Genomic DNA, 13714 nt, shown 5'->3' on the forward strand with positions numbered 1-13714 from the left:
AATTGGCCATGCATGGTGGCACGTGGCTGTAATCCTAGCTACATGGGAGACTGAGGCAGTAGAATCGCTTGAACCTGGGAGGTGGAAGTTGCAGTGAGCTGAGATCGCACCACTGTACTCCAGCCTGGGCAACAGAGTGAGACTTTGTCTCAAAAAATAAAGGAAGACTATGTAAATGGATGTCTGAAGACATTTCAGAATACTGATGTCCTAGTCAGGAGCCTCTCAGAAGGTACCACTGAAGCTCACTTGTAACTAGAAAGACAAAATTCATTAACTGAGGTGTAATAAATGCTCCTTAACCAATATGATGCTTGCTTCTGTACCACTTTGGTCCTGCGATGTCAGTGACACAAAGTCCATCCCTTGCTTTATGACTAATCTCACAATCACATCAACTAGATGAGTAACATTTTTTGGTGGATTCTGAAACTCCCTAGGCTTCAATTTCCCTGTCTATAAAATTAGTAGGTTGACTAGATGGATTCTGAGCTCAGAATAGCCCTGTGAATGAGCTTTGTTTTTCTCCCAGCCCACATAATGTTGTCAAAGAAGTGATAAATGAGAGATACCTCTGAGCCTGGAGGATGCGAGTAGGAGAACAAAGGGGATACTTTAGATGTGAACTTGGCATGGTGCCGCATAATGGGAAATCTGTTTTCATTTCTTTCATTTCAGATGCCAAGGGGAAAGTGACTTTACCCACGAGAGAGATTTTTAAATATTCCCCCAACTGCTCCGGTAAGTACTGCGTTTATTGTAGGAGAAAGTGCAGCCTCAAAAGGAAAAAGAAGTCCTGGGAGCTTAGGTTGTAGAGACATTTCCCAAATATTCAAGGTGTTCTGTAAAAAAAAAAAAAAAAAAGCCTTGGCCAGGCGTGGTGGTTCATGCCTGTAATCCCAGCACTTTGGGAGACCGACGCAGGCGGATCACCTGAGGTCGGGAGTTCAAGACCAGCCTGACCAACATGGAGAAATCCTGTCTCTACTAAAAATACAAAATTAGCCGGGAGTGGTGGCACATGCCTGTAATCCCAGCTACTTGGGAGGCTGAGGCAGGAGAATCGATTGAACCCGGAGGGCGGAGGTTGTGGTGAGCCGAGATCGCACCATTGCACTCCAGCCTGGGCAATGAGAGCGAAACTCCGTCTCAAAAAAAAAAAAAAAAAATGTCTCTCATAGATCCAATCAGTCAATAAGTTTTGGAAATGATGGAAACTATGCCCATCACTATTTTAGATCTTCATTGTGTATACAGTAAAGGTCAGAGAATTCTGGCAGTAAAGAAACTGTTTAACTTTGTGAAATCTCAAGCATCCCAAAGTAGACACACTTTGGAAAATGTTGTAGTAGAGAGTCAAAACATTTTAGCATCTCAAATGTGCCAATAAAGCAAATAGCATCTAATAAATACAATGATTAAAGACATCTTTGATCAAGTACATAAGCAAAATCTAAGAATATATCTTCAGATATGGGTTGAATGACTTATTAAAATTCTCTAAGAGGTCCAAATAGGTTATAAAAGGAGACCACAGCCAGATGTTTATATTTTCTCCAAAAGAGCAGAGAAAACACTTTCTGAAGAATCAGAACCATTGCTTCCACAATCTGTGTCAAAATTACCCAGGGTGAACATCTCCCATGCTCGCCTAAAAATTTTCCTGTTCCTGCTCTTGCACTTACACTATATGACAATTAGCTTATGTGTCTTCTTCTTCCTCTCTACCTAGAGATCCTTGACTAAAGGCCATGACTTATTTATCTTTGCGCACCTAGCACAGTGCATCATAAAGACTAGGCATTAATAAATACTCATTGTGGGCCGGGTGCGGTGGCTCACGGCTGTAATCCCAGCACTTTGGGAGGCCGAGGCGGGTGGATCATGAGGTCAGGAGATCGAGACCATCCTGGCCAACACAATGAAACCCCGTCTCTACTAAAAATACAAAAATTAGCTGGGCATGGTGGCACATGCCTGTAATCCCAGCTACTCGAGAGGCTGAGGCAGGAGAATCGCTTGAACTAGGGAGCTGGAGGTTGTAGTGAGCCGAAATCGCGCCACTGCACTCCAGCCTGGCAACAGAGTGAGACTCTGTCTCAAAGAAAAAAAGTAAATAAATAAAAATAAATAAATAAGTACTCATTGAGGACGTGAGGATAGGTAGAAATTTCTAGGCAAAGAAACTAGAATGTGCACAGGCCTTGTGGGAGATGGCGTATAGCATGTTCAAAGAACTGAGAAACTAGATCATGCTTCACTCCAGGCCTACAAACTCCAAATATCTGTGTGTGGGGGCTCAGGAGGAGCATTTTTCACAAATTTTGCAATTGATTCTAATAAACAGTTAAGTTGGAAAACCATTAGTCTAGACGATAGCACAGTACCATTTAACTGAAAAGTAGCTAAGAAGGCTGCCAAAGCTACTTGCAAACAACTGAAAGTTTAAAATGGTGGTTACAAGTTGAGGTTAGCCTAAAAATGTTGTTTTCATGCATAATGTAGCTGTTAAATAGTACAGTGTTTAAAATAATATGCTAATGATGATGAGTGGGAAGGCACAGAAAGGTCATGAGCCCACACATACTCAATTAGAGTGGACACACCTAGGTACTCTAATCCACAAGCATTGATTTTGGTCAAACACAGTCAGTTGGAATTTGGTATCGTAAATAGCGGCAGAATTAGGGAGTTGGAATTTTTAAAAACATCATCCTGACTATTTGGTAATTGTAAGGTTAATGCAGATTATGAAATAACTCATGGAAGAGAGTAGAAACCCAAATTGGTTATTTTAACTTTATCCCTATTTTCTTCATATCTTTCCCCTCAACACACACACACACACACACACACACACACACACACACACACACACACCCCAATTCTTATGTAAAAGTTTTAGGGTGATTGAAAAATAACTTTTCTGGTTAGGAACACTTGAAGTTGCTTACCTCTGGAATGAGATTTTGTATATTGTCTTACGGAAACTTGAATAATGACTAACTTTGCAAAGGGACACATTTGAGATGTTTTGTCAGAGAAGAAAAAATTGCTCTGTAACACAGAGCAATTTTATTATGTTTTTCCATGTTCCAAAACACTAGAGTGATTCCAACCCTGCACTTTGGAACTTGAAGATACTTAAAAGTTATTATCTGAGTTCTTTTAATTTTATCCTAGTTGGGTGAAGTATGCTACCTGAATGTATTATTTAGGCCTTCTTGAAAGCATTGTAGCAATGGGTTTTAGCATCATAGCGATATCTGTAGGAAAATAGCCCCTTGCATGGCAAGAGTGATGCCATCGTAAAGCAAACCTGCCATGATGACCAATGTTTGACTCCTCCATACCAAGGTGTTCTGCAGCAGATATCTCCAACCCTCAGGCCACGGACTGGTACCAGTCATTGTGGGCTGCATAATGGGAAATCTGTTTTCATTTCTTTCATTTCAGATGCCAAGGGGAAAGTGACTTTACCCACGAGAGAGATTTTACCCACGAGAGGCCTCTATCAGTTTCGAAAATACCACCTAGCCTGTGTTTTCTTGTCAGATTTTGTTCCCTTTGGCTTACATTTTCTATTTCTTATCTTTCAGTGGCCTTGTCATATTTGTAGGGGAACTTTGGCCTCTCACTCAGTAGGAGAGTGGATCTGGAGTTCTTATTAGGTCAACAGTGATGATGTGTATACACTATTACCAATAACAAAAATAAAAATATTAGAAAAAACAGTAAAATATTCATCCATCCACTCCCTACCTTGGTCAGAAGAGAGTACTAATAATTTTCCTCAAGGTTTTTCTCTCCCCTTCCATCTGCTTCTGTAAACTCTCCTCCCTGTCAAGGTCTGGTCTAGGTTCTAGCTTCTCTATGAATCTACCTGTCAAGCTTTGTCTCTGCTTATTCCTCTTTCCCTTGAATTTCTCTGGTCTTCTTATCATCTCCTTCAGAAAATTTAGTCTCCTTCAGAAAATACCATCTCCTTCAGAAAATATCAAAGCTGCAGTTTATTACTCTCTCAGAGAAACTAGAAATCAAGCTAAAACAGATGAAACAGACTATCTGGGAGAGTGACCGGACCGTTCAAAGGAAGACTAGGGGCCGGGCGCAGTGGCTCACGTCTGCAATCCCAGCACTTTGGGAGGGTGAGGTACCAGTCCGTGGCCTGTTAGGAACTGGGCTGCACGGCAGGAGATGAGTGGCAGGCGACAGAGCAAAACTTCATCTGTATTTGCAGCTGCTCCCCATCACTCACATTACCACCTGAGCTCCACCTCCTGTCAGGTCAACGGTGGCATTAGATTCTCATAGGAGCGTGAACCCTATTGTGAACTGCACATGCAAGGGATGTAGGTTGCATGCTCCCTGTGAGAATCTAATGCCTGATGATCTGTCACTGTCTCCTGTCACCCCCAGATGGGACCGTCTAGTTACAGGAAAACAAGCTCAAGGCTCCCACTGATTCTACATTACGGTGAGTTGTATAATCATTTCATTATATCTTACAATGTAATAATAATAGAAATAAGGTGCACAATAAATGTAATGCACTTGAATCATCCCGAAACTATCCCTCCCCAGTCCATGGAAAAACTGTCTTCCCTGGTGCCAAAAAGGTTGACGGCTGTTCTGCAGCAAGGTCTTTAAACAATGCCTGTGACATAGACAATCCCTCAGAAAGATGCTTATCTAACGTTCCCAGTGGTCATGACTTTTGGCAAGAAAGTTGGAGATGTGACCAGCTGCACATGACTTTACCTAAAAGCTTGCTATGTAAAGGACACTTTCTGGAGAGTGGGTGTAGGAATTCACTGTCTCACTGCTGCCCAAGACAGCACTACTGTTTGTAAGCCCCTATTAAATATTTCTTTCTGAGAAAGTGGATTTGTCAGCCTCTGTTTTTGGCCTTCAGCTCCCTTGGCCTTTGTGGGTAGGTTTGTATATACCTGCTCACTGCAGAAAAATATTCTACTCCAGTTTGTGATATATTTGGGTTTACAGATAGTCTGGTTACTGGAGTTTGAACCCAGTTCTGACTCCAATGCTCATGATCTTTCACTCTACCACATAGTCTTCCAGAAACAAATCATATGTGGTCTCTGCCCTTGATAGATTCTCCATCTAGCATGAGAGATGGGTATATAAACAAATGATTGCTGCAGAAAATTTAATAGAAAACTAAGGAAGGTGATGCTAACTCTACCTGGGCATGTCAGGGAAAGTATCACATAGGAGGGAGTATTCGTAGTGAGTGTTTCCACCAGGAAAGACAAGCAGAGGGACTTTCCTATGTACAGTAACATGCTTCACTCATAGTTTTAAAAATTAACGTTCTCACCCTTTTTTCCCAGCCATCGTTGGTGTCACCAATCTCCCATGCTCTCCTAAAAAATTTTCCTTTTCCCGTTTTTGCACTTCTCCTATATAATTAATTTACATGTCTTCTGTTTTCTCTATACTTACAGCTCCTTGACCAAAAGACCATGATTTATTTATCTTTGTGCACCTAGCACAGTGCCTTACAAAGACTAGGCATTAATAAACACTCATTGGGCACCTGAAGATAGGTACAGATTTCTAGGTAAAGAAACTAGGATGTGCACAGGCCTTGTGGGCGATGGAGCATAGCATGTTCAAAGGCCTGAAAGACAAGATCAGAATGACTAGCTATTAGGCAGTAGTGGTGGTGGTGGTAATAGAGGCAGAGTGTTCAGGAAGGTGATGTTGTAGGGTAGAGTAATCTGAGATAAAACTGGGACTGGTTGGAGTTAGACCATTAGGATCTTAGAGAACATGTTAAAGATTTTGGTCTTCATCCTAAGAGCAGTAGGAGGCCACGGAACAAAGGGTCAATGGGTAACACACTGAAAAGTTCACCTGAGCTCCATTGAGGGGTAAGGGCTGGGGACAAATACAACAAGGGAAAATATAGAAGGCTACTACAGTCATCCAAATATTGGATGTGGCTTTTAGTGAAGTTTGGAAGAAGTGCCCCTTTTTTAGGAATACCATACAGAAAAGTCACATATTTGAACATAACTACTTGCCTAATCCTTTTAGGATTTTCTTTTCCAATTTTTGCTCCTTATTGCTGACGGGCTCTTTGACAGTGGGTGGCTCTCCAGAAGCAACGGGTTCTCTTCCAGCCTCTTCAGTTGTTTCCTCACAGTCCCCATCCTCGTTGTCAGGTGATTCTGCATTCTCAGGCTGCTCACTGGCCCTGGCAGAGCCCTCTTTCCCTGCTGTGCTGGCAGCAGACCCATAAGTGTTAATGATGTCTTCCAGCTGTCGATTCAGCTCTTCAGAGATATCGGGGTGCACACTTGCCTCTTTCTCTGGTGGTTGGACTGGGGTTGGAGAATCCTGGCCATCTTCCTTCTCCAGGCCATTGTGACTGGGTAATGATGAACTGTCACCTGGAGGTGTTGACTGTCGTTCCGCTGAGAGCTGTTCAGAGTGATTAGCCTCCATCTTGGGAGTAGTATCTAGTGGTAAGCACAGTTAGGCTTTATGTAGCTAACCTACTTGCTACATATCAATGCTACATTTCAATGGTAAGGATATCCCCCAAGTGAATACCAACTAATTATAGTCTCTAACGTAGAGAAAGGCAATGTCCTTTCACAAACCATTGATGTTACTAAGGGAGGAGACCACCCCTCATATCGTCTTATGCCCAATTTCTGCCTCCAAAGAAGAAGTAAAAACTAAAACGCAGACATGAAATCCACAGGCAGACAGCCTGGTGCCGCGCCCTGAGCCTGGTAGTTAAAAATTGACCCCTGACCTAATAGGTTATGTTATCTATAGATTACAGACATTGTATAGAAAAGCACTGTGAAAATCCCTATCCTGTTTTGTTTCGATCTAATTACCGGTGCATGCAGCCCCCAGTCACGTACCCCCTGCTTGCTCAATCAATCACAACCCTCTCACGTGCACGCACTTAGAGTTGTGAGCCCTTAAAAGGGACAAGAAATGCTCACTCAGGGAGCTCGGCTCTTGAGACAGGAGTCTTGCTGACGCTCCCGGCCGATTAAACTGCTTCCTTCTTTAACTGGGTGTCTGAAGGGTTTTGTCTGCGGCTTGTCCTGCTGCATTACAATTATTAAAGTAGGGACAGTGGAAAGTTGTTTTTCCAAATCAAGTCACACTGCTGGCATATTTTTGGTTTTGATCTTCAGTTTTCAGTAGCATTCCTTATTATTCACATTAAGAAAGTAATTCATGCTATTTTTCTTTGTGGCCATATTTGTCATTTTGCTTACACTAGTCAGTTTGTGTTACCATTTTCCTGTATAATTCTATGTAGATTAACAATCACTGGGGGTACATGACTGTATATATTTAAAATGTTTAAATATAAAGTGGTATTAGTTTTCTTTCAAAGTTAAAATATTTAATAGAAGAGCCATTGAATTTATTTAAATAACTCATAAGAATAACATCTCTAAGCTCTATTTGATCCATAAATCAATATTTTGCTTAGTGTGAATATTTTGATGTAAATGCATTATTACACTGGATAGAGGAGACATTTCTCACTTTTCTGGCATTTTCTTTTTCAGATAAGCAACACGAATGCTTTTTTTGAGGCTTAAACTGGCATCATTTTTAGATTAAGACAGGGAATGAGGGAAGGTATAAATAAATAGACAAAGTAGTATGGAAACACGGGCCAGGTGCTGTGGCTCATGTCTGTAATCCCAGCACTTTAGGAAGCCGAGGCGGGTGGATCCTTGAGGCCAGGAGACCAGCCTGGCCAACATGGTGAAACCCTGTCTCTACTAAAAATACAAAAATTAGCCAGGTGTGGTGGCGGGCACCGGTAGTCCCAGCTACTTGGGAGGCTGAGGTATGAGAATTGCTTGAACTTGGGAGGCGGAGGCTGTAGTGAGCCAAGATCGTGCCACTGCACTCCAGCCTGGGTGACAGAGCAAGACTTCGTCTCAAAAACTAAACAAAACAAAAGCATGATGATACTTATAACAACAATTCCTTAAATTTCTATAATACTCTTTTATTCCAATATATAAACCAATTTTTTAAAAGAGAAAAACAGATTACAACTTTCTCTTCTAAGTCAGGAAGCTCTAGAAAAACTTAATGATTTTTAAGAAGTAGCAATGTTTCATAAACAAGGAGGAGACCAACTCGAGAAATAATTCAGCAATAATAAGGGCCCTTAGGAAAGGGTGAGAGATGGTACTGAGTCAGAGATTCCAGGGTTTCTGACTATTACCACTTCTAGAGTTGCAATAGATTTGGTTTAGGCCTTTAAGTTATGGTGCATTTTATTTGTAAATAATATTTAACAGTGATGCTGCTAAATAGCAGCATAAAAATGTGGCAAGATCCTCATAATTCACAGGTTTTGCTGTTGTGGTAACATGAAAGTGAAAACAAAAGCATACTGTTCTACAACTGCACAGCTTCCTTTTCCTGTTCTCAGGGCAGTAGATGTCAATTGAATGCTCAGACACCAACAAGAACAGAAAATTCAACACACAGATGTTGCCACTGACTTGTGATGCTCACCAAACACTCATAACTTAGAGGAAGTACTTTTTTTCTTTCACTGGTTTGAATTCACCAACTTGATTATCAAATAATGCAGCAGTTTCATTATTTTCATCACTGGGATTTCTTTTCCTGACCTCACTTGTTGATTGCACTCATCTATATATAACTTAGGCCTCCCCTGAACACGGAGAAAGACACACGGCACCTGCTGTCCAGCCAGAAGTTATTTTAAGCTATTCTAAAATGAGTCATGCCGTTTAGCACTTCATCCTTGAAAATCAAGAGAATCGTTTTTCAGTCAAATTGAAAACAGTAAACATTTAGTGGCTTAAATCCATACATGGGTTTTAAAGTCGGGGAGACTATCTTAGGATGAAATAAAATCTCAAGTAAAATGAACTTCAAAATAATTAATTTAAGATAAGCTGTCCATAGGAGTTTTACTTCGGTTAGTCTAAATGCAAGTGGCTGTTTGTATTTGATTTATTCTTCATGAGATGCCACAATCATTGATTTTTTAAATTCTTAATTCCATGGCTATTCTTTAAACTCCTGTTCCACATTTACTTTAAAACAGAACAGTCATTATAAAGCCCAGGACAATTCAATTCCCAAAAGTAGCCTCAAGACAAGTTAACAAGAGGGAAAAAAACAAAGTCAGAGAACTTTGTTACTTTTCAATCATCCATTTTATATTATGTGGCAAAGAAATTATTTCTAACTTTTATCTTATATAAACTTTATTGCCTTATTTTCCCCTCCCCAGGGAGAGAACTTTTCACTTGTGTTGGCTATTCCAGATGACTATCACAGACACATCCCTCCCTAAGCAACACATTTTATTTATAAATACAACAATGAAAAGTTCTCCAACAGTTCACTGGCAATCTCAAAGTTGCAAGTTTCGAACACCACAAACCGCACCCTATACCTTCTCACAGGGCTTGGGGGAGTGTTTGTCATACTTACCAGAAGGCAAGAAGCTAAGCAAGAAGAGAGAGGAGAGGAAGGAGGCAGGAAAAAGCAAGTCAGAGCTGCAGCAACAGCAGGAGAGGGCGGGCTGGCTGTGTTCTTACAAGGGAGAGAGAAACCCAATACACACACACACACATACACACGTGCACGCACGCGCGCGCACACACACACACACACACACACGCCACAGGCACTGATGGAGGCAGCAGTCTGGAGGAGGTGGGGGTAGGGAAAGGAACATCATATGACACAGCAAGGGGAAAATACACCCAAGCTTCCCTAGCTGTTGCCAGGGGAAATACCTTAGCAGAGAGAAGCAGCTGGAAGATCTCATTAGACTCTCCATGTTTTGTTTGTCCTTTCGGAAATTTAAACTCTGAGTATATTACCCCCGTTGCAAATGCAGTCTTTCACCATTGTTGTCCTTTTTGGGTAGAGATCAGTTTTTCTTACTTCTTGGGTTATCTCCAGTGTGGTGGAAGATTCATCTTCTTTTTCTTCTTCTTCTTGCACTAGCTTAATTAGTGTCAGGTTTCTTACAGGAATCATGGAAAAAGAAAAACAATGGCATAAGAACAGGGAGGTGGTGGAACCATTTTAATTCTGATGTCATTGTTTGGTTTGTTTGCAAAGTTTGAAATAAACATGTAGATGGTGATTTTGGAGCTGAACTGAGTATAATCTTCATGCACGTGGTAATTGGTGTGACCTTGGAGCACAGTCTTTCCCAGGTAACTCTTCCCATCTCAAACAAACCCTCAGGGAAGCAGTCTGCTTTTTCTTCCTTAGTTGGTGGCTTTCCCACATTTTGTAAATCCTCAACATGCTCCTTGATCCTCCTCAGAAAAAGAAATTCCTTCTGATTCACCATAAAATGCCTGTCTATTAATTTACATCCATTTGCCTTTTATTTTTCTTTCTGGAGCTTGTGTTCCCATACTTCCAAAGCAGATTCCTCCATCGGTTTCTGCTCTGGGGACAGGCTAGGCATAGTGGCATCCCTTGTGGGAGGCAGAATAATGCCACCCAAAAGATCTCCACGTCCTACTCCCTGGAACCTGTGAATATGTTTCTTTACATGACAAAAGAGACTTTGCAGATGTGAGGAAGGATCCTGAGGTAGGGAGGTTATCTTGAACTACTGGGTGGGTTCAATGTAATCATAAGGGTATTTATTTATTTATTTATTGAGACAGAGTCTCGCTCTGTCACTCAGGCTGGAGTGCAGTGGTGCAATCTCAGCTCACTGCAACCTCCCGGGTTCAAGCGATTCTCCTCCCTCAGCCTCCCAAGTAGCTGGGATTACAGGCGCCTGCCACCACATCCAGCTAATTTTTGTATTTTTAGTAGAGACGGGGTTTCGCTGTGTTGGCTAGGCTGGTCTCGAACTCCTGACCTCATGATCCGCCCACCTCGGCCTCCCAAAGTGCTGGGATTATAAGCGTGAGCCATTGCACTCAGCCTCATAAGGGTCTTTATAAATGAGGGAGGAAGGCAGTAGGATTGGAGGCAGAAAAGGAGATTTGATGACCTCAGCATAGGTCAGGAAGCTTCTAGAAGCTGGGAAAGGCAAGGAAACAGATTATACTCTAGAGCCTCCAGAGGGATGCAATCCTGCGACATTGATCTTAGATCAAAGAAATTCGTTTTGGATTTCCGACCTCCAGAAATATAAAATAGCAAACTTATGTTATTTTTAAGCTGCTAAATTTGTGATAAGATGTTATGGCAACAAAAGGAAATGAAAACATCCCACCCCCAGTTTTGTCCTACTTATTCTCTGAGTTTAGGGGAGGCATAAGTTATATATAGATGAGTGCACCCAACAAGCAGAAGTCAGGATAAAGAAATTCCAGTGTTGAAGACAATGAAGCTGTTCACTATATTATTTGATAATTAAGTTAGTGAATTAAAATTGATGAAAGAGAAAAGCACTTTCTTCTAAATTAATGAATACTTGGTGAGTGCCACAAATTGGGTGGCATTCCATCCTGGATTGTAGCAAACTGACCCGATCACATCTCTTAGTAAATATAAACAAGTCAGTGCTTTTCAAATTTAAATAATGTATAGACTCACTTAACAGAATAATTTAAATAATGTGGAAATTATTTGAAGGATTATATTATTATTTGAACCTACATGTACTAAAATGAAAATAGGATAAATTCCTTATGCTTACAGTAGTTACATAAATTTTAAAATGTATACATTTTAAAGCCTACAAAATCAATAAATGCGACTCAAATTAATAACACTACTTTTATGTGACAGATATTGTTTTGCTGAACTTAAATTGCTGCTTGCAACATGAATACTCTATTGACTGCTGGGTTTTTTGAGTTTCTGGTACTCTTCTACAATGTGGTTTGGGAATTTCCTCAACACTTGATTCATTCAAATTATTACATAGTTTTTATTCATATGGCCTGCTATGATTTCATGGGGCTCTCATTTGATACGGCTGCATCATTTACTGCTTGCTATGGTCTGAATGTTTGTGTCCCCCCAAAATTCATGTGTTGAAATCATAAACCCCCAGGTGATGGTATGAGGAGGTGGGGCCTTTGGGAAGTGATTAGATTATGAGGGTAGAGCTTTTATGAATGGGATTAGTGTTCTCATAAAAAAGGTCTGAAAGAAACCCCTTACCCCTCTGCCATGTGAGGGTGCAGTGAGAAGAAGGCTTTGTACGAGGAAGTCACCAGACACAGAATTTGCCTGCACCTTGATCTTAGACTTTCCAGCCTACAGAACTATGAGAAATAAATTTCCATTGTTGGCCCGGCACGCTGGCTCACGGCTGTAATACCAGCACGTTGGGAGGCCAAGGCAGGTGGATCACTTGAGGTCAGGAGTTCAAGATCAGCCTGGCCATCATGGTGAAACTCCATCTCTACTAAAATACAGAAATTAGCTGGATGTGGTGGCGCATGCTTGTAATCCCAGCTACTGGGGAGGCTGGGGCAGGAGAATCATTTGAACCCAGGAGACAGAGGTTGCAGTGAGCCGAGATTGTGCCACTGCACTCCAGCCTGGGCGACAGAGCAAGACTCTGTCTCAAAAAAAAAAAAATTCCATTGTTTATTAGTCACTCAGTTTATGTTATTTTGTTATAGCAGCCTGAATAGATGAAAGCCCTATTCTTTCTCATTGTCCTGCAATTATTAAAGTAGTGCTAATTGGCCCTAACTTGAATAGATACACACATGATAGTGGAGGTATCAAAATGACACTTACACAGTGGCTACCCAGATCCAAAACAGGCATATGCATTTTCAAGTATAATTGAAAATAATACAAACATGCAAAACTGTGACTCCCAAGAATTTATCTGTGGCCTGATAGGGGCCCAAAAAACTGGGATAAGTTAATAAAGACAGCAAATTAATAGAGCTCAGTGTTTTATTGTCAAATCAACGTTAAAAGAACACAAATTACACGTCTAAGGCTTTGAACTTTTGTAAAGAATACACTTATTTTTTGAAAATACATCTAACTGTTTACGCAAATATCACAGGAAAATAATTTGAAAATTCAAATGATGCTAAAAAGCTTAACCCAAGAAACAATAACTCCTTGTTCTTCCACCTTCCTCCAACCTTGTGATGCTTTCTAGAGGTAATAACATAAAACTGTTGTAGATATTTTTTGGGGGGGGGATTTACTTTATCATTTTTAAATAAAATGCCTTGATTTTATTTACAACTCACCAATTTTTGACATTATTTATTGTCTTCTCATAATGATAGATGAAGATTTTCATTGTTTACACTCCCCTTTTTCTCCTCTCTTCATTTTCCCCACAAAATTATATCTCAATGTTTAATTCATATCCTATATTGTCTTTATTGAAATAATGTTTACTGTTAAACCAGGTAGAGCATTGTGATTATAGTTCTATTCATATGCAACTTTCTGTTTTTCCTGGAGTTGATAATTTCTTTTTCTTTTCATTTGCCTAGTATTGAGAATACTCTGTCTTCCCAAACAGCGTAAGAGGCCTATAAATCTTTCTATACAATATTCCCAAAGGTCAAATAATTTATGTATTCTAGTACTTTTTTGGAGATATGATCCCCACATACAAACACTCTTAGAACCTTGACCCCCCCCTCCTCCAGCCTGGGCTGGTGGCTTCTAGGCCTGCTACACAGCTGTGGTCCTGGCACTTCCCCTGCTGTCGTTCTGGGAATTCCCTTTACCTCTCTCC

General features: G+C 40.7%; 1 protein-coding gene and 1 long non-coding RNA gene across 12 annotated transcripts in view, besides 4 other annotated features; one reads left to right on the plus strand and one right to left on the minus strand.

The window, feature by feature from the left end:
- Positions 1 to 13714, minus strand: part of TXLNB (taxilin beta) — a 164789-nt gene that overhangs the window by 123264 nt on the left and 27811 nt on the right. For 9 of the 10 annotated variants that reach the window (XR_007059217.1, XR_007059220.1, XR_007059216.1 and 6 more), the window contains 2 exons: positions 9804 to 10036; positions 6051 to 6488 (listed from right to left, as the gene is read on the minus strand). Coding sequence is in view for 5 of the 10 variants with exons in the window: in XM_005266836.2 (XP_005266893.1) it covers positions 6051 to 6474 (424 nt within the window). In the remaining 5 variants the exon portion in view is untranslated. Of the gene's footprint in view, positions 1 to 6050; positions 6489 to 9495; positions 9574 to 9803; positions 10037 to 13714 lie in introns of those variants that run through there. The other variant, NM_153235.4, reaches the window with a different exon arrangement.
- The window catches only part of LOC102723690 (uncharacterized), a gene marked incomplete in the record, with an annotated part of 31533 nt that overhangs the window by 11090 nt on the left and 6729 nt on the right, over positions 1 to 13714 (plus strand). Inside the window, 2 exon segments of one of the 2 annotated variants that reach the window (NR_197427.1) lie at positions 3457 to 3495; positions 4419 to 4477. This is a non-coding gene — a long non-coding RNA (uncharacterized LOC102723690). 2 annotated transcript variants of the gene reach the window in all.
- Positions 8288 to 8347: an enhancer, noted in NCBI's record as "active region_25169". NCBI's record gives its function as "activates an Ori minimal core promoter by ATAC-STARR-seq in GM12878 lymphoblastoid cells {active_cell/tissue: GM12878}" and the evidence as "EXISTENCE:reporter gene assay evidence [ECO:0000049][PMID:35858748]".
- Positions 8407 to 8701: a silencer, noted in NCBI's record as "tiled region #14530; HepG2 Repressive non-DNase unmatched - State 21:Repr". NCBI's record gives its function as "represses a minimal TATA promoter and a strong SV40 promoter by Sharpr-MPRA in HepG2 cells {active_cell/tissue: HepG2}" and the evidence as "EXISTENCE:reporter gene assay evidence [ECO:0000049][PMID:27701403]".
- Positions 8407 to 8797: a biological region, named in NCBI's record as "Sharpr-MPRA regulatory region 14530".
- Positions 8548 to 8797: an enhancer, noted in NCBI's record as "active region_25170". NCBI's record gives its function as "activates an Ori minimal core promoter by ATAC-STARR-seq in GM12878 lymphoblastoid cells {active_cell/tissue: GM12878}" and the evidence as "EXISTENCE:reporter gene assay evidence [ECO:0000049][PMID:35858748]".

The sequence above is a fragment of the Homo sapiens genome, chromosome 6 (assembly GCF_000001405.40).
Source record: "Homo sapiens chromosome 6, GRCh38.p14 Primary Assembly".
NCBI lineage: Eukaryota > Metazoa > Chordata > Mammalia > Primates > Hominidae > Homo > Homo sapiens.